Here is a 25,033-nt window from a genome sequence, read left to right on the forward strand (position 1 = left end):
TCCTCCAGGCTGGAGTGCAGTGGCGGGATCACAGCTCACTGCAGCCTCGACCTCCCGGCCTCAAGTGATCCTCCCACCTCAGCCTGAGTAGCTGGCATCACGCCCAGCTAATTTTATTTTTTGTAGAGATGGGGGTCGCACCATGCTGGCCAGGCTGGTCTCTAACTCCCGAGCTCAAGCCATCCTCCCGCCTCGGTCTTCCAAAGTGCTGAGATTGCAGGCGTGAGACACCGTGCCCAGCCGTCTTTAATATTTTTCACCAGGCGGATAGTTCACATTTTTGTGTAGTCTTTTTTTTTTTTTTTTTGGTGCCTTCTAATTCTAATTCTTCCCATTTCTGGGTGTGTACTTAGTCTCTCTGAGCCACAGTTTTCTGCTCTATAAAGTGGGGTGATAATGCTCAGTACACGGTTTGCTTTGGCTCGATGAGAAATCCAGGTCTGAAAGCTTCAGGTACAGCGGCCGGCGCTGAGGAAAACAGCGTTAAGTGAGGCGCGTCAGCGGACACCACCTGCCTGCACATCTGGCTGGCCTCAACTTCCCGCTGTTCGAGCCCACGTGAGTGGCTCCGCCCCATCTGGCTTCTGACCAATGGACGAGCTTCCTAAGGCGTACCGTCCCGACTCCAAGGCGCCTGGCTTTGAGGCGGGCTGCGTCTTGCTCGGAGTCCCGCCCCTTGCCGGGTCGAGCAATGGGCGCCTTCCGTTTGGCGCAGGCCCCGCCCCTGTCGCTCTCCGGCCTGCGGGCCGCAGGGCTCGTTCCGGAGGGCGGGCGCCACGGAGGCCGGAGTGGTCGCAGTTCGGGCGGAGGCCGGGCCAGGCGGGGCTGTAGGGCTGGGGCAGGCGGCGGGCTGCCCGGCGGGACAGCTGCGGCAGCCGGCGGGGGGCGTCCTGAGTTGGCGGTCGAGGGCGCTGCCAGCTCCCGAGGGGCCGCTCGGGCCCCTTCCGGCCCGGGTCTGGTTGGGCCGCAGGAGCAGGGCGGGCTGCGGCGCCCGGGTCTGGCCCTGGCCTACGGGCTAAGCGCCCGGCCCCGGGGCCGCGGATCCGGCAGCCATGTGTGGATCTTGAAGCGCCATGTGGTCTTCTGAAGCGCTTGACAGTTCTAAAGGGCTTTATATTGCAAACTGATCAAAGCGCTTCGTAGCCCCGGAAGCGCTTAGGCATCTCCGAAGTAGCGCTGGGCAAAGTGAAGGCTTCCTGATCTCAGAAGCACGTTGTGGGCTTGGAAACCGACGGCAGCCTTTAGTCAATTTTGGATCGCTTTGACTTCTCCAACACGGTTTGGCATCTCTGAAACCTTGAGAACTGTGATGGGCAGTGGAAAGAAGAGGGAAAGGTCAGTGAGGCTAGCCCCTGGCTCTGCCCTTATGTCTTGCCGTCCTCCTGGGCCCGGGGTGGCGGGAATCTGAGGTGGGGTCGCCAGGAAGGGTGGTGTTGGAATCCAGGCCCCCTGTACCTTGCAGGTGCCCATGGCGTCCGAGCGGGGCAAGGTCAAGCACAACTGGAGCAGCACGTCGGAAGGGTGTCCCCGCAAGCGCAGCTGCCTCCGGGAGCCCTGTGATGTGGCCCCCTCCAGCCGGCCAGCTCAGAGGTCTGCGTCGCGTTCTGGAGGGCCCAGCAGCCCCAAGCGCCTGAAAGCCCAGAAGGAGGACGATGTGGCTTGCTCGCGGAGGTTATCCTGGGGCTCATCCCGCCGCAGAAATAACTCCTCCTCCTCCTTCTCCCCACATTTCTTGGGCCCTGGTGTGGGCGGGGCCGCCTCCAAAGGCTGCCTGATTCGGAACACTCGGGGGTTCCTGTCTTCAGGGGGATCCCCTCTGCGTCCTGCCAACGCCTCTTTGGAAGAAATGGCTTCTCTAGAGGAGGAAGCCTGCAGCCTTAAGGTAGGTGGCTGCCACGCTTTGCAATCGGTGAAGCCCCTTCCACATGGCTTGAGAGGTTGGGGATGGGAATTTTGGTGGAAGGAGACTACAAAACATTACATCCTTGAAGGTCTGGAAGGTCTTTCTAGAAGTCCACTCCCCCCAAACTCGAAGACCTAGCAGTCTTCCAGGCGCGTGGCCTGAAGTTAAGTAGAGAGGTAATTTTCAAACTCGGCAGCACTTTGGAACTACTTGGAAAGCTTTAAAATACTTGGGCCTGCCTCCTACTCCAGAGAAACTGATTTATTGGGCTGAGGTGTGGTCTGGGCTTCCAGATTTTTCAGTGCTCCCCAGGTTATTGTAAACGTGCAGCCCCGTTGGAGAATCACTGCAGTAGAAGGTGGATTATGTGCTCAAGAGAAGAATGTATTTATTTTAGTTGTCAGTTTAAAGAATTGTGTGCCCTTGTACTTTGAACCACTCTGAATCACAGAACCAAGAATTGCGGTTCTTGGTGTAGCTTTTCTCCAAAGTCATAGTTTCCAGCATGTTGGGGTTTTGCTTGGTGGTGCTAGTTTTTTTTTTTTTTCTTTTTTTTTTGGAGGTTAAATTGTTAATTCCCTAATGGAAACATGCAAGAGGGTTTCATAAGTACTTTGAGCAGACCAAGGAGTGCTTCACAGAGAAGATACATTTCGCTCATCTACTCAATCAAGGCTTTGAACAAATATGTGTTGAGGGTTTAGTTTGTGCCAGGCAATGTTCTAGGTGTTTGGGATTCTTTACTAACAAAACAGATCACTTTCCCCTTAGAGTTTGCATCCTAGATTTTGAAGGTCTGAGTCTTAAGAAGTGAGAAGTTCTGCCTGTGGAGGAGTGGAGAAACAGTCTTATTTGGGATCAGATGGGCTGCCTCTAGAGAAAATTACTTTACAAAAGCAATTAAAACAGGCCCTAAGGAATATGTGTTTGTTTTTAAGCCTAGCCTTGGTGGTTTCTTTTGTGTAGCTGAGAAAGGAGGCTGTATTTGACTGTTTGTCTTGGGGACTCATAGGCTAAGTGCCCCTGGTTTTTTCAATGTGGACCTCACTGTCTGAACTCTTGTGTGGGCACGTGGATTTTTTCTTTTTAAATTCACAAATAACAGTGAGTTGAAAAGCCCTGTCTCTAGCGTAGGAATGCTGAATTTGTCTCAAATCAGGTAAGTATGGGACTTTGCTCATACAAGTTAATCTTGCCATTAATCCTTGATACAATTTCAGTAGACTTGGGTACAGCATAAAATAATACCAGTTGATTCAATTTAGCTTCACTGACAATTTGTAGATAGAGTGAAACCTGTTACTGGGAGAGGCAGGAAATTTACTTTACATAGTCTTTCAGGTGTGCTGAATCCCTGGCTGTCCTAAAGACCTGGAACTCAGGTTTGAGGGTGTGGTCTCTAATCTGGGTGGGTCTAATTGTAGGTGGACCCACCTTTCTCTCATTAAGGCTAAAGGGGCCTTGTTTTGCAAGAACCCAATTTAATGGTTTCAGTAGAAGCACTTGAGGGTTATTGTGGGCCACGCACTGTTGGGTCTGGGAGTGATGAGCTTCTAGGGAGCAGTCTGGTGGGAGGGCTGGAGGAGTGGTCGCATGACTGCCCACAATGTGGTATGATGGAGTAGTGAGCCCAGAATGGAGGCTGGAGAGCGAGGTAGGGGGTGGATTGCAGCAAGGTTTTAGTAGCCAAGGGAATTTGGATTTTATCCTAAGGACAATGGATTTTATTCTAAGGGACAATTCCCTTAGAATTGTATTCTCTTTTTTTGAGACAGATTCTTACTGTGTCACCCAAGGTAGACTGCAGTGGCATGATCTCTGCTCACTGCAGCCTCCACCTCCTGGGTTCAAACAATTCTCCTGCCTCAGCCTCCCAAGTAGCTAGGACTACAGGTGTGCGCTACCGTGCCCAGCTGATCTTTGTATTTTTAGTGGAGATGGGGTTTCGCCTTGTTGGCCAGGCTGGTCTCTAACTCCTGACTGCAAGTGATCTGACCGCCTCAGCCTCCCAAAGTGCTGGGATTACAGGTGTGAGCCACCATGCCCGGCCAATTGTATTCTTATTTTAAAAAAATTATTTTATTTTTTTGAAACGATTTCCCAGGCTGAAGTGCAGTGGCGCAATCATGTCTCACTGTAGCCTCAAACTCCTGGGGTCAAGCAATCTTCTTAAATAGGTGAGAATATGGGCATGTGCCACCACACCCTGCAGATTAAAAATTTTTTTTTTGGGCTGGGCGTGGTGGCTCACGCCTGTAATCCCAGCACTTTGGGAGGCCGAGGTGGGCAGATCACGAGGTCAGGAGATTGAGACTACCCTGGCTAACACGGTGAAACCCTTTCTCTACTAAAAATACAAAAAGTTAGCCGGGCATGGTGGCGGGTGCCTGTAGTCCCAGCCACTTGGGAGGCTGAGGCAGGAGAATGGCATGAACCCAGGAGGCAGAGCTTGCAGTGAACCGAGATCAAGGCACTGCACTCCAGCCTGGGCAACAGAGTGAGACTCAGTCTCAAAAAAAAAAAAAAAAAAAAATTTTTTTTTTTGTAGAGATGAAGATCTCACTGTGTTGCCCAGGCTGGTCTCAAACTCCTGGGCTCAAGCTGTCCTCTTGCCTTGTCCTCCCAAAGCGCTGGGATTAGAGGCATGAGCCACTGTGCCAGCTGGATTGTCTTCTAAGCAATTAGAGAATTTATACAGGGCTCTACACAGAAAAGGAAATTGCATTGTAGAAAGATCACTCTTGTCGAGTGAGGGTTTTTATATTACCCTGATTGTCCATCTCTAGGACTGCTGAAGTCTCTTCCTGGAGTATATGTTTGTCAGTTTAAAAACCAAGTGTACAGTACTTGACTCATCTTGATGAATTACAAAACACCTCTTACCTTCCACCTTCATCTGTACCTCTTCCTCCCTTGCTCTGTGGTCATCTGTGAACTTATCTGTCCTGGTCCTAAGTCCTTCAGCAAGCACAGCCGAGGGGTACTCACAAAAATGGCATGTTCATCCTCAGGTCCTTCTAGAGTCCTCTCACTGCTCTCCTGTGTCTGCTCTGTAAACTTTTTTTTTTTGTTTGAGACAGGGTCTTGCTCTGTCACCCAGGCTGGAGTGCACTGGCATGATCATAGCTCACTGCATCTCAACCTCCTGGGCTCAAGCGATCCTCCTGCCTCAGCCTCCCAAGTAGGTGGAACTCAGGCGTGTGCCAACCTGCCTGGCTAATTTTTTTTTTTTTTTTTTTGAGACAGAATCTTGCTCTGTCACCCAGGCTGGAGTGCAGTGGTGCAATCTCGGCTCACTGCAAGCTCCGCCTCCCGGGTTCACGCCATTCTCCTTCCTCAGCCTCCCCAGCAGCTGGGACTACAGGTGCACGCCACCATGTCCGGCTAATTTTTTTGTATTTTTAGTAGAGATGGGGTTTCACCATGTTAGCCAGGATGGTCTCGATCTCTTGACCTCGTGATCCGCCTGCATAGGCCTCCCAAAGTGCTGGGATTACAGGCGTGAACCACCGCGCCTGGCCTGCCTGGCTAATTTTTTGTGTTTTGTAAAGACAAGAGTCTCCCTATGTTGACCAGGCTGGTCTCAATCTCCTGGGGTCAGGCAGTCCTCCCACCTTGGCCTCCCAAAGTGCTGGGATCACAGGCATGAGCTACTGTGCCTGGCCTTGCTCTGTAAACTTTGAGGGTTACACAGTTGACTTTGTTCCCTTCTCCCACCAGCCTTTAACACATCTTTCTCTGTGCCAGGTCACAGAATATTCTGAGGGGAAGGTGTTAGACTGGTCATTTTAGAATCGGTAGAGATCCCTGCTGGCTGACCTCACATCGTTCCCTTCTTACCTCCAGGACAGTTGGAGATGTTTCATGTTAGCTGATGATCTTCATTTACTCTTCACAGAGGAGACTAACTGTGTGACGAGCACCTTCATGTAGTAAAGATTATTTTTACTATGACATCTAAATGTCTACATTCAATTTAGAGTTGAAAGAATGGAAGGGAAAATTTGAGCATGTATGATAAGGCTTGGTCAACTATGATTCTCGATGTTTGATCTATAGACTATCACATAATCCCAAAAGTGTCGTGAAGTAGGTGGTATTATCTCCACATATCCATTAGTAAATACCTTCATATCAATTAACAAATATTTAAGCACCTACTCTGTGTAGGCACTGGGCAGATGAGATTCAGAAAGGTTAAATAAGCTGACCAAGGCCATGCAGCTGGTAAATGGCCGAGCTGTGGGGTAATATCAGATTAGTCCAACTTCAAAGCCAGTGTTCTCTGCACTGCTGCCTCTGGGAGCACCTGCTCTGTTCTAGCCTGGCATCAGATGTAGGGGTGGCAAGACGAAGGTGCCAGGGTCCCTCCCTTGCGGAGCTCTCTGCAGGGTGAGTTAGCCCAGGCACAGTAAAGCACTGGGTATTGAGGCTCTTGAGTGATAGAGCTTTTGCACATCCCCTTTCCTGCATCTCCACTTGGCACATGTCTAGTGCACACGTGGAACACCAGGCTTGGGGCTGTTGTTGCCAAGGACAATCGGGCCATGCTTCACAGACTGAGAAGTCACTCACCACGGGGCAGTGAGTGGAGAGCTGTAACAGGGATGGGTTTGGAGTACCCAAGGGTCAGGGGAATGAGCGACTGACCATCAGGAAGGTCCTCACAGAAGAGGTGACATCTGAGTCTTACTGATGGACAAGGAGGGGGACAGGACATTTCGGGCATAGGGAGCAATACATGCCCAAAATGTCAGGAAATGCTGCTTGTCTGGAGTGCTTGGGGCACTGCTGGCCCTCCCTTCTCTCATCCGTGCTCTCCTGCGTTCCCTGGACACTTGCGTGTTTGGAGGAAGGCAGGAGATGAGGCTAGACAGGAAGGCTGGGGCCAGTCTGTGAAGGGTTCCTGATGAGCTCAGGGGTAGGGATTATTCTGTAGGCAAATGTGGAGCCCTGGAAGGGTTCTAAACTAAGGCTGAAGTGGTGGGGTTTGCATTTTAGAGCTCCTCTGGCACGCTGCAGAGAAAGGGTAGGAGGGAGAAGACAGGGAGCTGGTGAGGAGCTGTTGAAATCCTTCAGGCTACTGGTGATAGGGCTGGAGCAACATCTCCACTTATCTTTCCTTCTTTCCTTTGGAGATGCACAGTTCACCAAGCAGTGCTTCCAGGAAGAACGAACTCTCCCCTTTATGAAGTCAGGTGGTTTGTCTCTTACCTTCTGCCCATGGTCTACCTACTTCTTACCTTTAGAGCCAACTGTCACCTGCTGAAACTCATCCTCGGTGTCGTTGATCCATCTTAGGTCCTCCAGCCTAGGAGAGTGTTTCTCACTTTCTCTCTTTTTTTCCCCCTTCCCCCTTCCTCCTTCCCACTTCCCACTCCCCCTCCCCCTCCCCCTCCCTCCTTTCCTGTCTGTCACCCAGGCTGAAGTGCAGTGGTGCAATTGGCTCACTGCATCCTTGACCTCCTGGCTCAGGTGATCTTCCTGCCTCAGCCTCCCAAGTAGCTGGGACTACAGGCGTGCACCACCATGCCCAGCTAATTTTTCTGTATTTTTTGTAGAGAGGGGTTTTTTTGCCATGTTGCCCAGGCTGGTGTTGAACTTGTGGGCTCGAGTGATCTGCCTGCCTCAGCCTCCCAAAGTTCTGAGATTATAGGCAGGAGCCACCATGCCCAGCCAACAGTGTTTCTCACTTTCATATTTCATTACTCCTTTCCCTTGGCTTCCAGGATGTTAGGGAGAACTTGAGTTTGAATCCCGGTTCTGCCACTTACAAGCCATGTAGCAGTTTCACTTTCTGTAAAAGAAGTATGACGGCTGTAGCACTTCTGTAAATTGTAAATCTGTATGAAAATATAAGGTATATTATTATACTCCTAATTTTTTTTTTTCTCCCCCAACTCCAGTCTTGGTCTTCACAACCAGAGGTGGCAAAACTGCTGGTCTGTGGACTGGATGTAGCCTGCTAGGTCCTTAACAGTATTTACATTTTGAGACAATTCACATTAAGAATTTATGACTCCAGGCTGGGTGCGGTGGCTCATGCCTGTAATCCCAGCACTTTGGGAGGCTCAGGTGGGCTGATCACTTGAGGCTGGGAGTTTAAAACCAGCTTGGCCAACATGGAGAAACCTCGTCTCTACCAAAAATACGAAATGTAGCTGGGTGTGGTAGCACATGCCTGTAATCCCAACTACTCAGGAGGCTGAGGCAGGAGAATCACTTGAACCTGAGAGGCGGAGGTTGTAAGTGAGCTGAGATGGCGCCACTGTACTCCGGCCTGGGCGACAGAGTGAGACTGTCTCAGAAAATAGAATTTATGACTCCAGTCTAAGTCCCTACCTTGAACTGAAGAATTGAATGACATCACCTCCCCATTTTATGTCCTCTTTTCTTATTTTGTTTTTCTCCTTGGCAGTTATCACTCTCTAACATACATATTTCACTTGTCTTACCTTTCTCCTGGTTTTCCCTTCCCTTACCAGCTAAAATGTGAGCTCCAGGAGGCAGACGTTCTTGTGTGTTATTACTATTATTTTTTTTTTTGAGACAGCGTCTCCAAAAGTTTGGAGCGTCTCCACAGGCTGGAGTGCAGTGGCACAAGCTCGGCTTACTGTGACCTTGACCTTCCACACTCAAGCAATCCTTCTGTCTCAGCTCCTGGAGTAGCTGGGACTACAGGTGTGGGTCACTGCACCCAGCTAATTTTTGTATTTTTCTTGTACAGATGGGGTCTTGCTATGTTGCCCAGACTGGTCTTGAACTCCTAGGCTCAAATGATCCTCCTGCCTTGGCCTCCCAAAGTGCTGGAATTGCAGGCATGAGCCACCACACCCAGCCTTGTTTTTTTTTTTATTGAACGCTAAACCCACAGGTCCAGAACCGTGCCTGCTGGCACAGAGTAAGTGCTTAGTAAGTGCTTGCTTAATGGTTGAAAAGTGCACTAAATTCAATATTTCTGGTTTTACTTGAAAGAAACAGAATCTCTAACTCTGATTCTCTACTCTCAAATGGCACCAGTTAGAGGTGAGGAGCAGCTGCCCGTCTGAGGGTGCAGATACTCCTCAGTTTGTTGCAGATCTCACCCTCTGTGTTGTATATGTGGCTACAGCGGGAGCAGAGGGCAGGGGTGGAGAAGCAGTCAGTGGAGATGGGGCCTTAACAGACAGGTGGGAACACAAAATGGGACGGAGGCAAGGACATGGCAAGCAGAGGAGATAAGATGTGCTAGCAAATGTGTAAGAGGGTGTGATGGGCCAAGGGTGGCAGGTGGTTGGTGGCAGGCAGAAGAGGGCACTAGAGAAGTGGGCTGGGAAGTTGGGGCTGTGTCTCACAGGGCAGGCCCTGGGAGTCATCAAATTTATTATTAGTATTAGAGGCCAGGCACGGTGGCTCATGCCTGTAATCCCAGCACTTTGGGAGGCCAAGGCGGGCAGATCACTTGAGGTTAGGCCAACATGGTGAAACCCCATCTCTACTAAAAATACCAAAAAAAAATTAGCCAGGTGTGGTGGCAGATGCCTGTAATCCCAGCTACTTGGGAGGGAGGCTAAAGCACAAGAATTGCTTGAACCTCAGAGGCGGAGGTTGCAGCGAGCTGAGGTTACACCCCGCACTCCAGCCTGGACAACAGAGTGAGATTTTGCCTCAAAAAAAAATTATATATATATATATATATGAATTCCTTAAATATAAAAAGATACAAAGAAAACAGGCTGAGCGCGGTGGCTCACACCTGTAATCCCAGCACTTTGGGAGGCCGAGGTGGGTGGATCACCAGAGGTCAGGAGTTCAAGACCAGCCTGGCCAACATGGCGAAACCCCGTCTACTAAAAATACAAAAATTAGCCAGGTGTGATTGCACATGCCTGTAATCCCAGGTACTTGGGAGGCTGAGGCAGGAGAATCTGTTGAACCTGGGGGACGGAGGTTGCAGTGAGCTGAGATCGCACCACTGTCTCCAAAAAAAAAAAAAACAAAAAAAAAAAACAAAAATGACCCGTAACCTCCTTTAACAAATAATCTCTGTAGACACGTTAGAAAATACAGAAAGTAAGAAAATTTACTAAGTCCACAGAGGTTCAAAATGATAGCAAACACCACCTTTCCTATTCATCTTCGTGAAGTTAGCAGCTGCCAACAGTTTGAGTACTTTCAGGAAAATAGATGTCTATATTAACAAGTATAGATTTCTAAAGGTTTATGATTTTTTTTTTTTTTTTTTTTTTTTTTTTTTTTTTTGGGAGATGGAGTCTTACTCTGTAGCCCAGGCTGGAGTGCAGTGGCACGATCTTGGCTCACTGCAAGCTCCGCCTCCCGGGTTCACGCCATTCTCCTGCCTCACCCTCCCGAGTAGCTGGGACTACAGGCGCCCGCCACCACGCACGGCTAATTTTTTGTATTTTTAGTAGAGACGGGGTTTCACTGTGTTAGCCAGGATGGTCTCGATGGGCCCGCCTCGGCCTCCCAAAGTGCTGGGATTACAGACATTAGCCACCGCGCCCAGCTAGGTTTATGATTGTTTTAAGTTTTATTTTCCTTTGGCCCTTGATTCAGGATAATGATTAAAAAAAAATATGATGTGCTCTTCGGAAAAAAATTTCAAATGATACAAGAAGCTTATAATATAAGCACCTAAGCCTTTGTTTGTTTGTTTGTTTGAGACAGAGTCTCATTCTCTCACCCAGGCTGGAGTGCAGTGGCATGATCTCGGCTTACTGCATCCTCCGCCTCCTGGGTTCAAGTGATTCTCCTGCCTCAGCCTCTTGAGTAGCTGGGACTATAGGCATGTGCCACCACGCCTGGCTAATTTTTGTAATTTTATTTTTATTTTGCTTCTTTTTTTTTTTTTTGAGACAGAGTTTTGCTCTTGTTGCCTGGGCTGGAGGGCAGTGGCACGATCTTGCCTCACTGCAACCTCTGCCTTCCGATTCAAGCGATTCTTTGCCTCAGCCTCCTGAGTAAGTGGGATTACAGGTGCCCGCCACCATGCCTGGCTTAAGTTTTGTATTTTCAGTAGACACAGTGTTTTGCCATGTTGGCCAGGCTGGTCTCGAACTCCTGATGTCAGGTGATCCACTTGCCTCGGCCTCCCAAAGTGCTGGGATTACAGGTGTGAGGCACTGCTCCCAGCCGAGCCTAAGTCTCTTTCTACTTCCCTGCATTCCCCAAAGAGATCCATTATAAACAGTTTAGCTTTTTAGACTTGTTTGCGAATATATACATATAAAGCAATTTTGCCTTTTTTTTTTTGAGATAGGGTCTCACTGTATTGCCTAGGCTGGAGTGCAGTGGTGCCGTCACGGCTCACTGAAACCTCTGCCTCCCAGGTTCAAGCGATTCTTGTGCCTTAGCCTCCCGTGTAGCTGGGATCACAGGCGTGTGCCACCATGGCCCAGCTAATTTTTGTAATTTTTAGTAGAGACAGAGTTTTGACACCTTGCCCAAGCTGGTCTTGAACTCCTGAGCCTAAGTGATCTTCCTGTCTTGGCCTCCCAAAGTGTTGGGATTACAGGCATGAGCCACCGCGCCCCGTGTGTTTTATAGAGATGGGGTTTCGCCATGTTGGCCAGGCTTGTCTCGACCTCCTGGGTTCAAGCAGTCCACCTGCCTCGGCTTCCCAAAGTGCTGGATTACAGGCATGAGCCACTGTACCTGGTCTGTATTTACTTTTGAGAGGAATTTAATAGAAATGACTTAGGAATGCAAATGGGATAATGGTTTACTGCTTATGGAATGGCCTTAGGAGGACATTTGTGGAGAGTTCTTACACCCGGCAGGGATTAGACTGGATTAGAATTTCACATCAAAATAGTCTGGCAAACAAAGTCTAGCTTTTTCTGTGTGGAGTCCTGGAGTGAGTGGGTGCAAGAGGGGGCTGAGGCTTCACTTCCGTCTTGGAGGAGGTTTGTTGTTGGGAGCAGTCTATCTTGACTGACCCTGGTGCAGTCACTGAGAAACTGAGGTATTTTCCAAAACCAAGTTGATTATTTGAGGGGAAGTGTTTGCAGAGAACTTTCAGGAGGCTTTGGGTATGGTGGGAAAAACACTGCACTCAGAACTGGGGGATTGGAGTTCCTGGGGCTAGCCCTTCCCCTCACTGGGTCCTCAGGTTTCCTTTACCCTTAGATATGGGATTGGGCTAGCTGGTTTCTAGGGCCCTTTCCAGTGGGAAGAGCTTGAGCTGCTGTTTTGCCTGAAGTGTAGTCCTTGCCTTCCAGGAGCTTGCAGTCTGGTTTAATGAGAGTGTTCATTTCAGCTCCTTCCGTCCCCTTGCAGTGAAAGGATATCATCTGCTGAGCATGAGAAGGCGAATGCTAAGAAATGGCAGCAATCAGCCCCTCTTACAGTGCCACTTCACCACCCGGAGAGAACCTTTGCCTTAGCCACAGTCACTTTCCCTTTGACTGGTAGAACCACCACTGATTTATAATTTGCCAAATGCTTCATGTACGAAAGTGCCCTTGGAACAGCCCTTTCAATTCTGTTTTTTTTTTCCCAGGTTGATTCCAAAGATAGTTCTCATAACTCCACAAACTCTGAATTTGCAGCTGAAGCTGAGGGTCAGAATGATACAATTGAGGAACCCAACAAGGTCCAGAAAAGGAAGAGGGATAGACTTCGAGACCAGGGCTCCACAATGATCTACCTGAAGGCTATCCAGGGCATCCTGGGGAAATCGATGCCAAAAAGGAAGGGAGAGGCTGCCACTCGGGCAAAACCAAGCGCAGCAGAGCATCCCAGCCATGGAGAAGGACCAGCCAGGAGTGAAGGACCAGCCAAGACTGCAGAAGGAGCAGCCAGGAGTGTCACAGTCACTGCTGCTCAGAAGGAGAAAGACGCAACCCCAGAGGTCAGCATGGAGGAGGATAAGACAGTGCCAGAGAGGAGCAGCTTCTATGACAGGAGAGTAGTTATAGACCCTCAAGAGAAACCCAGTGAGGAGCCCCTTGGGGACCGAAGGACTGTCATTGACAAATGCTCTCCACCCCTAGAGTTCTTGGATGACTCTGACTCTCATTTAGAAATCCAAAAGGTGAGTAAAGCTTGTACCAGGCATCTGACTTTTTAGTTCTGTTGATGAAATGTGTTCCATCTTTCTAGTTTGATCCTAAGTGTTACTAATTAAAAATAGTACTTTACTTAACCAGGCCTCCAGGGAACAAACTGATGGTTTTCTTCTAACATACTTTTCAGATTTTCAGAGTTATTAATAAACCTAAACTAAGTGCTTTTTTTTTTTTTTGAAGGATTTATATGTTAGGATATGGGTTTAGCTGCTGTGTAAAAGGCCAAAATCACAGTGGCTTAAACAGAATATAAGTTTGGCTTAAGAAGGATGGCTCCATCATGTCAGAGATACTGGTACCTTTTGTCTTGATTCTCTATCACCCCTCAACACAGTGTCCATCTCTTGGTGTGAAATGGATACTCTGATAGGACTCAGGGTTTGTTATCTGGGCATTCTGGCCAGTGGGAAGGGGAGAAGAGGAGAGTGCATTCCTTCCCTGTTAAGAGCTTGGCTCAAGAGTTGCACATGTTGTATCTGCTGTTGACAAGAGCGGGGAAACCCGGCTGACACCTGGCTGCAAGGGAGTCTGGAAAATCAGCCTTTATCTAGGCAGACTTGTACCTGGATAACCAGAGAAGAAGGGAAGGATGTCATTGGACGGAAACTAGTGATTTTTAACATAGCTTATAATTGAGGGGAAGCATTCCTCCATCTTTTTCTTTTTTTTTTTTTTTTTGTTGTTGGGACAGAGTCTTGCTCTGTTGCCCAGGCTGGAGTGCGATGGTGCAATCTTGGCTCACTGCAACCTCCACCTCCTGGGTTCAAGCAATTCTCCTGCCTCAGCCTCCTGAGTAGCTGGGATTACAGGTGTGCGCCACCAAACCGGCTAATTTTTGTATTTTTAGTAGATATGGGATTTCTCCATGTTGGCCAGGCTGGTCTCGAACTCCTGACCTCGTGATCCACCTGCCTTGGCCTCCCAAAGTGCCGGGATTACAGGCATGAGCCACTGTGCCAGGCCACATTCCTCCATCTTACTCGTCTCCACCCATCCTTTACTACTGCTCTGCAGGCAGCTTCTCTCATCTTTAGCTCTTTCTTCTAGTACTTACCCCATGTTTCTAAATAATCTTTACTGTTGATCAGTTTTTCAGTTTTAGATGTCTGAGGACTTCTTGCTTGGGCGATGAGAATTTAGTTCTCTATACCTCCTTCAGAAGCACCCACACCCAGGGACACATTAGCTTCCCCTTTCTGCAGCCTCCCTGTGTGGCTTGAATACCTTTTGGGTTAAGTCTGTGTAAGATTTGTTACTGCCATGTTCACAGCTGAGTCGCCTTGTATACTCTGATCACATTTTCTTTCTTGTAAAACTTCATTTTCCTTAAAGTTCATCATTACTTTGTTTTTCCTTTGGTTTTCCTGGTACCTTTCACTAATTAATCCCCAAACTGCGAGAGCTGTAAAATCCTTCTCAATACTGTCAAAATAAGGAATCTGTTTCTTTTTTTTCTCTCTTGGAGGTATACGTCCTCAGCCCTCTGTTGTCCTGCTCTGGTCTGGACTGCCTGCCGTCAGGCCAGCTGGCAGCTGTCTCTCTGGAGCCTCCTTCACATTTCTCCCGGATTGAGTCTTCTGCTACCTATACTCTGTGTCTTCTCATGTTCTTCTTCCTTGGTTTACTCTCACATTTTGGTGGAATACTTTTTCTAGTAGCTTCTTGAGAAAGGGTACATGGAGAAACTTTTTTTGGTAAACATGTGTCTGAGATTGCCTTTATTTTACCTTTAACCTTGATTACAAGCTTGGTTGGTTTTGGAATTCCAGGTTGGAAATTGTTTTGTTTGGGATTTTGAAGGCATTGCTCCTTTTCTTCTGGGCTTTTTTTTTTTTTTTTTTTTTTTTGAGGTGGAGTCTCGTTCTGTCTTGCCCAGGCTGGAGTGCACTGGTGTGATCTTGGCTCACTGCAGCCTCCACTTCCTGGGTTCAAGTGATTCTCCTGTCTCAGCCTCCCGAGTAGCTGGGATTACAGGCACACGCCACCACACCTGGCTAATTTTGTATTTTTGGTAGAGACAGAGTTTCATCATGTTGGCCAGGCTGGTCTCAAACTTCTGACCTGAGGTGATCCACCTGCCTAGGCTTCCCAAAGTACTGAGATTACAGGTGTAAGCCACTTCGCCTGGCCTCTTCTGGTTTTCTTGATGTCTGAAGCTATGCTGGTTCCTGAACCTTGGTATATGATTTTTTATTTTTTATTTTCTTTTGCTTTGAGACAGAGTTTTGCTCTGTCACCCAGGTTGGAGTCCAGTGGCGTGATCTCAGCTCACTGCAATCTTCACCTCCCAGGTTCAAGCGATTCTCCTGCCTCAGCCTTGTGAGTAGCTGGGATTACAGGCATGTGCCACCACACCCGGCTAATTTTTGTATTTTTAGTAGAGATGGGGTTTCACCATTTTGGTGAGGCTGGTGTCGAACTCCTGACCTCATGATCCGCCCGGCTCAGCCTCCCAAAGTGCTGGGATTACAGGTGTGAGCCACCGTGCCCAACCTGTATTTTTTTTTTTTTTCCCTCTGTGGAATCTTGTAGAATATATTTTGATCTCAGGGCTCTGAAATTTCATGGTGGTGGTGTCTACTTTGCTTAGCATGGGACATTCCCTTTCAATCTAGAAACCCTTGTACTTTAGCTGTGGGAAAAGTTCGTGAATTACTGTACTTCGCTGATGTTTTCTTTCCGTATTTTTCTTCTCTCTTTCTCTCTCTAGCTTCTCTACCTTCTTTCTCTTATTTGGATGTTGGATTTTTCAGGACTGGTCCTGTAATTTTATTGCCTTTCTCCCTTGTTTCTAGCCAATTTCTTGCTTTACTTTGTAGGATATTTCCTTTTCTTTATCTTCCAACCCAGCTGTTTATTTAGTTTTACTTTTCTACTGTCATGCTTTTTATTATCCAAGAGCTCTTTTGTTTTTTAATAACATCTCTGTTCTTGTTTCATCTTCTGTTATCTCTTTTAGGGAGTTCATGGTAGTTTTTTGGCTTGGTTTTAGTTTTCTTTAAGTTGCTTCTTTCCGTTTCTTTTGATCTCTTCTGTGTTAGAGGCTGCCTTCACATGTCTGGTAATCTTTGGTTGTCTGTTTATGATCAAGAATGGGAGGATTAAAAAGCTGTTTGGAAGCTCTGAGCGTAAAGACTTTGAGCTTTGCTTTGGGATGATCGGGAGAATATAACCCTCTTCCCCTTGCCATGTCACTGCTTTTAGGAAAGCCTCGAGACTGGTCACCTTGCCCAGAGGAGTGTTTTTCAGCCTGCTTAGGAGGAAAGGTGGCTGGGAGCTGGGTAGCGAAAGGGGCGGCTGCGGGGGCGGCGTCAGCATTCACTTAATCTTTGTCTTTTTGGTGCAGTACCAGTGCCCTCCACTGAGCTGACCAGGCCTTATTCTAGAGATCCTCTTGTTTTACTGTCTTCAAACAACTCACCTTCTCTGAGTATGAGGAGGGAATCTGGGATCTAACTCATTGGAAACCAGATTTCACCCTGTCCTCCTCCTTTTAATGTTCTTCTGTAACTCCAGTTCCTCCAGTTCCCAAGGTGCCCAGTACCGCGAGTGCCTGCTCTGTTCTAAGCTTTCCTGGTGCCTAGCTTAGGTCTCAGCCTTCTCTTGGTCTGCCAGTGAGGTGTTATTTGGCCATCTGCTTTCTAGCCTCCAGTGCGTGATCACTGTAGTCTCTTGTTCTTCCTGTTCTGGTGTTTTTGTTATTGTAGAGGGGTTTTATTTGTTTTTTGTTTGGTTTTTAGATTCTTTAGTTTTAGTGAGGTTTCAGGAAAGAGTAAAATAAGTCGAATTTGTTCAGTACATCCTTAGCCTAGAAAAGTTCTGGGAAAATTTCTTGATTATTTGATTTCTTGTCTGTTTCTTCTTTTTCTGGACCATCTATTTTATGCTTGGTCTTTCGGATGGAAATTCCAATTTTCTTTTCTTCCCAGTGAATCCTTTTTAAAAAATTTTTCTGGATGGTTTCTTCAACTTTATCTTCTTTTTTTTTTTTTGAGATAGAGTCTCACTCTGCCACCCAGGCTGGAGTGCAATGGCTTGGTCTTGGTTCACTGCAACCCCTGCCTCCCAGGTTCAAGCGATTCTCCCGCCTCAGACCCCTGAATTGCTGGGACTATAGGCGCATGCCACCATGCCTGTCTAATTTTTGTATTTTTAGAAGGGACGGGGTTTCATTTTGGCCAGGCTGGTCTCGAACTCCTGACCTCAGGTGATCTATCCGCCTCGGCCTCCCAAAGTGCTGGGATTACAGGCGTGAGCCACCGCGCCTGGCTCAAGTTTATCTTCTAACGTTTATGTTGATTTTTTTTTTTTGGTCTTTTTTTTTTTTTTCCTGTGCGTGGTTTTTTTTTTTTTTTATTGCTGCCAATTTTTTTTTCTTTTTTGTCTTTTTGAGACAGAGTCTCACTCTGTGGCCCAGGCTGAAATACAGTGGTGTGATCTCAGCTCACTGCCACCTCTGCCTCCTGGGTTCAAGCAATTCTCCTGTTTCAGCCTCCTGAGCAGCTGGGATTACAGGCATGGACCACCATGCCTGGCTAATTTTTGTATGTTTAGCAGAGACAGGATTTCACCATGCTGGTCAGGCTGGTCTTGAACTCCTGACCTCAGGTGATCCACCTGCCTCGGCCTCCCAAAGTGCTAGGATTACAGGCATGAGCTACCACGCCCGGCCAGAACTTTAAAAATTAAAAATTTTAGCTGGGCGTGGGGCTCATGCCTGTAATCCCAGCACTTTGGGAGGCTGAGGCAGGTGGATCATGAAGTCAGGAGATCGAGACCATCCTGGCTAACACGGTGAAACCCCGTCTCTACTAAAAATCCAAAAAAATTAGCCAGGTATGGTGGCGTGCACCTGTAGTCCCAGGTGCTGGGGAGGCTGAGGCAGGATAATGGCGTGAACCTGAGAGGTGGAGCTTGCAGTGAGCTGAGATTGCACCACTGCACTCCAGCCTGGGCAACAGAGCAAGACTCCGTCTCAAAAAAAAAAAAAAAAAAAAAAAAGTTTTTGTCATCCAGGTTGGAGTGCAGTGGCATGGTCATAGCTCATTGCACCTTTATTTTTCTGTGGTCCCCTTGGTTTAACTTTTCCAAGCATCAACTTTTGTCCTTTGCTGGGTGGGGAAAGGGCAGGCCATCTGCACAGGGTGGGAGCAGGGGTCTGGAGATCTTGACAGACTTCAGCTAATTCCTATTTTCATCTGCGGCTTCACCCTCACTTTGGAAGTCTGGCACCTCCAATTCCTGAGTCTTTCTGGGGTCCTGTAGTCTGGTTCTGGGTTTTTCCTCACTGAAGGCTTAGGTTTTGGCCATCTGATCTTCTTGGCTGATAATCATTAACCCATCTGTTTTCTATGCTCTGTTATCTGTGAATAGCATCCAATGCTTATTTAATTTGCTTTGCTGTTCATTTTGTGTGCTTTCCCCTTGTAGGTTTATACCTTTTCGGATATATTTCCTGTAACTTTAGAAGGGTTTTTGGGTGGGAAGGACAAAAACTATATGCTATATATATAATTGGAAATTCCCACATAAAGTAGGTTTGTAAGATATTTTCCTCCCAAATATGTAATGGGTGTGTTTTCTGTCTAATGTAGATCATCTTACTTGGTTGCCTCTAATTCCATTGTGTGGATGAATTTTCTAAAGTTATACCCAAACTTCTATTTATGAGACTGGACGACAATTAGGTTTTCTCTTACGTATCTATTTGGAGACAGCACAGTATGGTAGGTGAGCATGTGAGTGTTGGGATCAGACCATTTGGGTTTAAATCCTGGCCCTGCCACTCGAATTAGGATCTTGAGAAAGTCAGCCTCTTTGAACCCCAGTTTCTTCCTGTGTGTAAAATGGGCTAGCTCTTCAAATGTTACCACTTGTAAAAAGCTAATACAGGGTCAGATGCATTTTTGGGTTTACAGCCTCTGTTGCAGCTTTTCAACTCTGCATGAAAATGGCCATAGACAACGTACAAGTGAATGGGCCTGACTGTATTCCAATGAAACCTTATTTACACCATCAGGCATGGTGTTGTTCAGTGAGGTTTCAGGAAAGAGTAAAATAAGATGAATTTGTTCAATCCATCTTTAGCCTAGAAATGTTCTTGTGGGCTGCAGCATGTGGAACTCTGAATTCATACGTGATTACTCTTTGCTCAGTGCCCAGTAGTAGGTGCTCAATAAATGTAACTTTAAATTTTACCATACAGGCTTAAACTAACTAAGGCAGTCTTTTTTTTTTTTTTTTTGAGACAGAGTCTTGCTCTATCACCCAGGTTGGAGTACAGTGGCTCACTGCAACTTCTGCCTCCCAGGTTCAAGTGATTCTCATGTCTCAGCCTCCCGAGCAGCTGGGGTTACAGGCGTGCACAACCGCATTTGGCTAGTTTTTTGTATCTTTAGTAGAGATGGGGTTTTGCCATGTTGCCCAGGCTGGTCTGGAATTCCTCAGCTCAAGTGGTCTGCCTGCTTTGGCCTCCCAAAGTGCTGGGATTACAGGCGTGAGCCCCCTTGCCCGGCTGAGACAGTCTTGAATATCGGCAGTCTCCTCCTATTTCCCCCACACCCCCCGACAAAAAAAAAAAATCTGAAAACATTTTCTTGGCCAACTTGACTCTAGAAACCTTTCAAGGATTTAGATGACATAATTATTATGTCTGTTTATGGTGTATGTTTCTAGTTACATGTGCATTTTTGAAACTGCTTTTTTCCTTACTTTGACATTTTCCTATCCAGTCTGATTAAATTTCCCTGTTTGTTTGATGATTGTTTTGGTTCATTTGAAAGAGGATCCAAATGAGAACTGTATGTGGCAATTTTTAAATGTGTCAAGTCTCTTCGTCTCTATAGATTCATCCTTTTCTCCCTCCAAAATGTTGTAATTTATTTGTTGTAAAAAATGGGGTCATATGTCTCGTTTTTGCTGATGAGAATATAGTACTTTTTGAATCTGTGTATTGTTCTTGGAAATTTTATTCCAAGTTGCAAATAGTCATCATATCACATTGAGGCAGTCTGTTTCCGTTTTTCCTCGAGGTGTGTTTTTGGGATTGCCATAATGTGACCACCTCCAATTATTTTGCAGACATGTTAATGATGTGTTACTGTATATGATAAACATTTTAACTTTCAGGTGCACCTATACAAAAGTAGACTTGTAGTTCCAATATGTTTCACTAGAAAATTCAGCAGGGAAAAAAAACAAAACAGAACACAAAAGCCTTGTCAAACTTAGGCAAGACTGTAATTTTTTATTGTCTGGGTTGATGGAAATTTTCTGTTATAACCGAGATAGTTTTTGAAGGATTGTTCTCCCTTATAGATAAGTTTTTAAAGGTTTTAGGGGAAATTGCAAACATTCAAAGTAAACAGAATAGTGTATTGAATCACCAGATGCCCATCACCCAGCTTCAAGAGTTCAGATTAAATTAAAAATGTGCTACATTTAAGTTAGCTTGCATTTTAGAAAAGATTCTTGTTTGGATATTTCTGCCATTCAAGCAGTAGCTGTGAGAAGTCTAAGGCAGGAAAGTATAAAATGGGAAATGGGTAATTCATTTAAGTGTTGGTTACTAATACTTGTTTCCTGTTAGAGTGTAGTTAGGGGTATGAAATATTAGTACAGCCAACATAAACAGTTTTGTTCCATTTTAATCAGGTAATTCAGCTAGAATGCTCTTTCATTGTGAATGTTTGTTTTATTATGTGAATTACATATACTCATAAAAGTATTAAGAGAACTTTGTAAGGCCTCTTGCTCATCAAGCCTTCTGTCATTGGCAGGTATAGATGGCTGCTTTAAGAAGAAATGATGGCACTTAAATTTTGTTTCCAGCATGAATTGATATTGATGTGCTTACTGTATTTCTCAAACCTGGTCTGCATCACAATTCCGGGGAGAGTTAAATGCAGATTCCTTGGCCCCACCTTGGACCTATTGAATCACAATATCTCAGGGTGGAATGGGCCTTAAAAATCTGTTTTTAAAATGCTACCCAGTTGATGGAGATGTGATGCTAAGTTGAGGCACCATTTATTCTAAAAATTAATTCAGCAGATATTCATGAGCACTCAGTATCTGCCAGGCACTGTTCTAGGTGTTGGGGAGACATCAGTGGAAAAAAAATAAAAATTCCTGATCTCGTGGCGCTTACCTTCTCTAGTAGGACTAAGCCGATTTAATGCAAGGGATGGTTGTTTCAGTCACTATTACTAGTTAGTAGCTTAAAATAACTTTTCTTTTGCTCTCAGTACTGTGGGTCAGGAATTTGGAAAGGCCTAGACTGGGGCAGGTGTTTCTTGGGGAGCCCCATGTAGTTCCTTTCAGATTTTGGCGAGGGCTGTCGTCATCTGAGAGTGTGACTGGGCTGGACATCCGAGATGTTCACTTACATGGTGGACAGATGTTGGCTGTCAGCCAGTAAGTCAGCCAGGCTGTAAACTGGCACACCTACATGTGGCCTCTCTAGCAGGATGTCATTTGGGTTGCCGGACTTCTTACATGGTGCTTGGCTTGCTCCAGAGTGAGCAAGTGGAGTGAACCAGATGGAAGCTACAAGGCCCTTCTGACCTGGCCTTGGAAGTTACACAGCTTCGCTTCTGTTGCATTCTTTTGGCTATAAGTAAGTCTCTAGGTAGGTCCAGATTAAGGGGAGGGGTCATAGACCCCACTCTCAATGGGGAGAAGGGTTAAATAATTCGGGGACACGTTTAAAAACTGTCACAATGGCCAGGTGTGGTGGCTTATGCCTGTAATTTCAGCATTTTGGGAGGCCAAGGCAGGAGGATTGCTTGAGTCCAGGAGTTTGAGACCAGCCTGGGCAATATAGGGAGACCCCCTACCTACAAGAAATTAGCCAGATGTGGTGGTGCGTGCCTGTAGTCCCAGCTACTTGGATGGCTGAGGCAAGAGGATTACTTGAGCCCAGTAGTTCAAGGTTTCAGTGAGTCGAGATCTCACCACCGCATTCCAGCCTGGGCAACAGAGCAAGACCCTGTCTGAAAAAAAAATACAACTGCCACAGCTGTTGTAATTTTACATTTTGAATATATTGACGACAGTGTCAGAGAGGAAAAGCTGGGCACTGCTTTTCTCTAAAATCTCCAATCCGGAGTGTGTTCTAGAGAGCAGTTTTTCTCAAGAGAAAGGGATGCAGGTAGAGCACCACCTTTAGGAGTAGCATGATGAGGCCATGGTCACAGGCCTATTCCCTGAACCCAATACAGCTGTTCACAGCAGTAACTTGGCTCAGTTCTGGACATTTCTGGAAATTGTAAGGAAACCAGGTGACAGGGTGAGCTAATGAGCCAATGCAAAGCCATCACCATGGCCAGAAGAACAAGCCAGGGTTTATGTTCAGCTGATGACAGCCTGGGAGGCCATCTTCACATCGGAAGGCTAACCCACTGTTGTATGCCTTCTTTTCTGCAGCATAAAGATAGGGAGGTGGTGATGGAGCACCCCTCTTCTGGAAGTGACTGGTCTGATGTTGAGGAGATCTCCACAGTCAGATTCTCTCAGGAGGAACCTGTCTCCCTGAAACCTTCAGCCGTTCCGGAGCCTTCTTCCTTCACCACCGACTATGTCATGTACCCTCCTCATTTGTACAGTAGTCCTTGGTGTGACTACGCCAGCTATTGGACCAGCAGCCCCAAGCCTTCTAGCTACCCCTCCACAGGCAGCAGCAGCAACGATGCAGCCCAGGTTGGGAAGAGCAGCCGGAGCCGCATGAGTGATTATTCCCCCAACTCTACAGGGAGTGTCCAAAACACCTCCAGAGACATGGAGGCCTCAGAGGAAGGCTGGTCCCAGAATTCTCGTTCATTTCGCTTCTCCAGAAGCTCAGAAGAAAGAGAGGTGAAGGAGAAAAGAACATTCCAAGAGGAGATGCCTCCGCGTCCTTGTGGAGGACACGCATCCAGCTCCCTGCCAAAGAGCCACCTGGAGCCAAGCCTAGAGGAGGGCTTCATTGACACTCATTGTCACCTGGACATGCTCTATTCCAAGCTATCTTTCCAAGGGACCTTTACAAAGTTCAGAAAAATTTACAGCAGCTCCTTCCCTAAGGAATTTCAGGGCTGCATCTCTGACTTCTGTGATCCCCGCACCCTGACAGATTGCCTATGGGAGGAGCTGTTGAAAGAGGATCTGGTCTGGGGGGCCTTTGGCTGTCACCCTCATTTTGCACGTTACTACAGTGAGAGTCAAGAAAGAAATCTTTTGCAAGCCTTAAGGCACCCTAAGGCTGTGGCATTTGGAGAAATGGGCTTGGATTACTCTTACAAGTGCACCACGCCTGTCCCAGAACAGCACAAGGTAACAAGGCTCTCTTTAGTCTGCTTATAGTTTTAATTTTTCTTTTAGTTGTTGAAGCCTGACAATAAGGGTTTATCTAATTTTAGAAGTAAATAATTGAGAATCCCTGAAAACGCAGTGTGCTTGCTCTCATCCAGACCATCTAGATGCCATTTGTCAAATGCTTTACAAGCTATTTCTTACTGTTCAGCTTTATTATGGAAGATGAGGGAGAAGTACTTTGTGACTTCTTATGGATGATATCAATGTCAAAACATTTGTTTTCTTTCTTTCTTGGGAAGCAATAAACTTTAGGTTTTCTTAATTGATTTTTTGAGAGGGAGTCTTGCTCTTTTGCCCAGGCTTTGGAGTGCAGTGGTGCGATCTCAGCTCGCTGCAACCTCCGCCTCCTGGGTTCAAACTGTTTTCCTGCCTCAGCCTCCCAAGTAGCTGGGATTACAGGCGTGCATCACTACACCCGGCTAATTTTTGTATTTTTAATAGAGACCATGTTGGCCAGGTTGGTATTGAACTCCTGACCTCAGGTGATCCACCCGCCTTGGCCTCCGAAAGTGCTGTGATTACAGGCATGAGCCACTGCGCCTGGCCTGCATTGTTTTTTTTAAATATACCCATTGCAGAATATTTGAAAAAATATGAAAAAATGCATAATTTCCCATTCAACCAGAGATCATGGCTAATACTCTGTTAATATTTTTTTCTTTTTCTTTTTGGAGACAGAATCTCACTCTGTCACCCAGGCTGGAGGGCAGTGGCACGATCTCGGCTCACTGCGGCCTCCACCTCCGCCTCCGCCTCCGCCTCCTGGGTTCAAGCGATTCTCCTGCCTCAGCCTCCCGAGTAGCTGAGACTGCAGGTGTGTGCCACCTTGCGTGGCTAATTTTTGTATTTTTAGTAGAGGTGGGGTTTCACCATGTTTGTTAGACTAGTCTCGAGCTCCTGACCTCAAGTAATCCACCTGCCTCGGCGTCCGAAAAGTGCTGGGATTACAGACCTGAGCCACTGCGCCCGCCCCCTGTTAATATTTTTTTTCCTCCCAATATTTTTTGAGCATAGTGCTTTGGCAGGGTAAGAGTTGTAGTATTTTAGAATTTCTTTTCTTTTTTTTTCAGAGATAAGGTCTTTGTCGCCCACACTGGAGTTCAGTGGTGCAGCCACAGCTCACTGCAGCCTTGACCTCCTGGGCTCAAGTGATCCTCCCACCTCAGCCTCCCAAGTAGCTGGGACTGCAGGTGCACACCACCACGCCTGGCTAATTAAAAATAAAAATTTTTTTGAGATGGAGTCTTGCTGTGTCACCCAGGCTGGAGGGCAGCGGTACGATCTCAGCTCACTGCTACCTCCACCTCCCCAGTTCAAGTGATTCTCCTGGCTCAGCCTCCTGAGTAGCTGGGATTACAGGTGCCTGCCACCACACCCGGCTAATTTTTTTTTTTTTTTAAGGCAGAGTTTCACTCTTGTTGGCCAGGCTGGAGTGCAATCGCATGATATTGGCTCACTGCAGCCTCCAGTTCCCAGGTTCAAGCGATTCTCTTGCCTCAGCCTCCTGAGTAGCTGGGATTATAGACTCCCGCCACCACGCCCAGCTAATTTTTTGTATTTACAGGATCACACCTGTAATCCCAGTATTTTGGGAGGCCGAGGCAGGCGGATCACCTGAGGCCAGGAGTTGGAGACCAGCCTGGCCAACGTGGCGAAACCCCGTCTCTATTAAAAATACAAAAATTAGCTGGGTATAGCTGGGTGTGGT

At 46.9% G+C, this 25,033-nt stretch overlaps 1 protein-coding gene across 1 annotated transcript in view, besides 12 other annotated features; it reads left to right on the plus strand.

Annotated features, from left to right (window-relative positions):
- Nucleotides 613-1,042: a silencer, noted in NCBI's record as "silent region_14058". NCBI's record gives its function as "represses an Ori minimal core promoter by ATAC-STARR-seq in GM12878 lymphoblastoid cells {active_cell/tissue: GM12878}" and the evidence as "EXISTENCE:reporter gene assay evidence [ECO:0000049][PMID:35858748]".
- The window catches only part of TATDN2 (TatD DNase domain containing 2), a 32,760-nt gene continuing 8,453 nt past the window's right edge, over nucleotides 727-25,033 (plus strand). The window contains exons 1-4 of the mRNA NM_014760.4: nucleotides 727-1,335; nucleotides 1,463-1,882; nucleotides 12,405-12,938; nucleotides 22,399-23,283. Coding sequence (NP_055575.3) covers nucleotides 1,469-1,882; nucleotides 12,405-12,938; nucleotides 22,399-23,283 — 1,833 coding nt within the window. The 5' untranslated portion in view covers nucleotides 727-1,335; nucleotides 1,463-1,468. The remainder of the gene's footprint in view (nucleotides 1,336-1,462; nucleotides 1,883-12,404; nucleotides 12,939-22,398; nucleotides 23,284-25,033) is intronic.
- Nucleotides 1,295-2,163: an enhancer, noted in NCBI's record as "H3K27ac-H3K4me1 hESC enhancer chr3:10290711-10291579 (GRCh37/hg19 assembly coordinates)". NCBI's record gives its function as "activates a minimal SCP1, AML or CMV promoter by ChIP-STARR-seq in naive H9 embryonic stem cells {active_cell/tissue: H9 hESC(naive)}" and the evidence as "EXISTENCE:reporter gene assay evidence [ECO:0000049][PMID:30033119]".
- Nucleotides 5,851-7,727: a meiotic recombination region, noted in NCBI's record as "meiotic double-strand break mapped by DNA meiotic recombinase 1 chromatin immunoprecipitation followed by single-stranded DNA enrichment and sequencing in the germ cells of some male individuals with the PRDM9 A/A, PRDM9 A/B and PRDM9 A/C genotypes". NCBI's record gives the evidence for it as "EXISTENCE:chromatin immunoprecipitation-seq evidence [ECO:0000229][PMID:25395542]".
- Nucleotides 5,851-24,348: a biological region, named in NCBI's record as "3p25 TatD DNase domain containing 2 Alu-mediated recombination region". NCBI's record gives its function as "recombination_partner: LOC107303338 | LOC107303339".
- Nucleotides 7,249-7,264: a nucleotide motif, noted in NCBI's record as "nucleotide motif; similarity to the predicted 16-mer PRDM9 C-type binding motif, CCNCNNTNNNCNTNNC".
- Nucleotides 9,617-9,866: a mobile genetic element, noted in NCBI's record as "direction; forward".
- Nucleotides 9,698-9,718: a non allelic homologous recombination region, noted in NCBI's record as "AluSx recombination sub-region, recombines with the AluSx1 recombination sub-region within the 3p25 FANCD2 Alu-mediated recombination region". NCBI's record gives the evidence for it as "EXISTENCE:nucleotide sequencing assay evidence [ECO:0000219][PMID:19280651]".
- Nucleotides 16,132-19,356: a meiotic recombination region, noted in NCBI's record as "HapMap CEU population data shows a slight increase in recombination rates in this region". NCBI's record gives the evidence for it as "EXISTENCE:nucleotide sequencing assay evidence [ECO:0000219][PMID:20981099]".
- Nucleotides 16,132-19,691: a meiotic recombination region, noted in NCBI's record as "HapMap YRI population data shows a slight increase in recombination rates in this region". NCBI's record gives the evidence for it as "DESCRIPTION:nucleotide sequencing assay evidence [ECO:0000219][PMID:20981099]".
- Nucleotides 16,203-16,392: a silencer, noted in NCBI's record as "silent region_14059". NCBI's record gives its function as "represses an Ori minimal core promoter by ATAC-STARR-seq in GM12878 lymphoblastoid cells {active_cell/tissue: GM12878}" and the evidence as "EXISTENCE:reporter gene assay evidence [ECO:0000049][PMID:35858748]".
- Nucleotides 18,488-20,690: a meiotic recombination region, noted in NCBI's record as "meiotic double-strand break mapped by DNA meiotic recombinase 1 chromatin immunoprecipitation followed by single-stranded DNA enrichment and sequencing in the germ cells of some male individuals with the PRDM9 A/A, PRDM9 A/B and PRDM9 A/C genotypes". NCBI's record gives the evidence for it as "EXISTENCE:chromatin immunoprecipitation-seq evidence [ECO:0000229][PMID:25395542]".
- Nucleotides 24,345-24,348: a non allelic homologous recombination region, noted in NCBI's record as "NAHR recombination sub-region b, recombines with the LTR12C recombination sub-region within the 3p25 BRK1 Alu-mediated recombination region". NCBI's record gives the evidence for it as "EXISTENCE:nucleotide sequencing assay evidence [ECO:0000219][PMID:19280651]".

The sequence above is a fragment of the Homo sapiens genome, chromosome 3, assembly GCF_000001405.40.
Source record: "Homo sapiens chromosome 3, GRCh38.p14 Primary Assembly".
Classification (NCBI taxonomy): domain Eukaryota; kingdom Metazoa; phylum Chordata; class Mammalia; order Primates; family Hominidae; genus Homo; species Homo sapiens.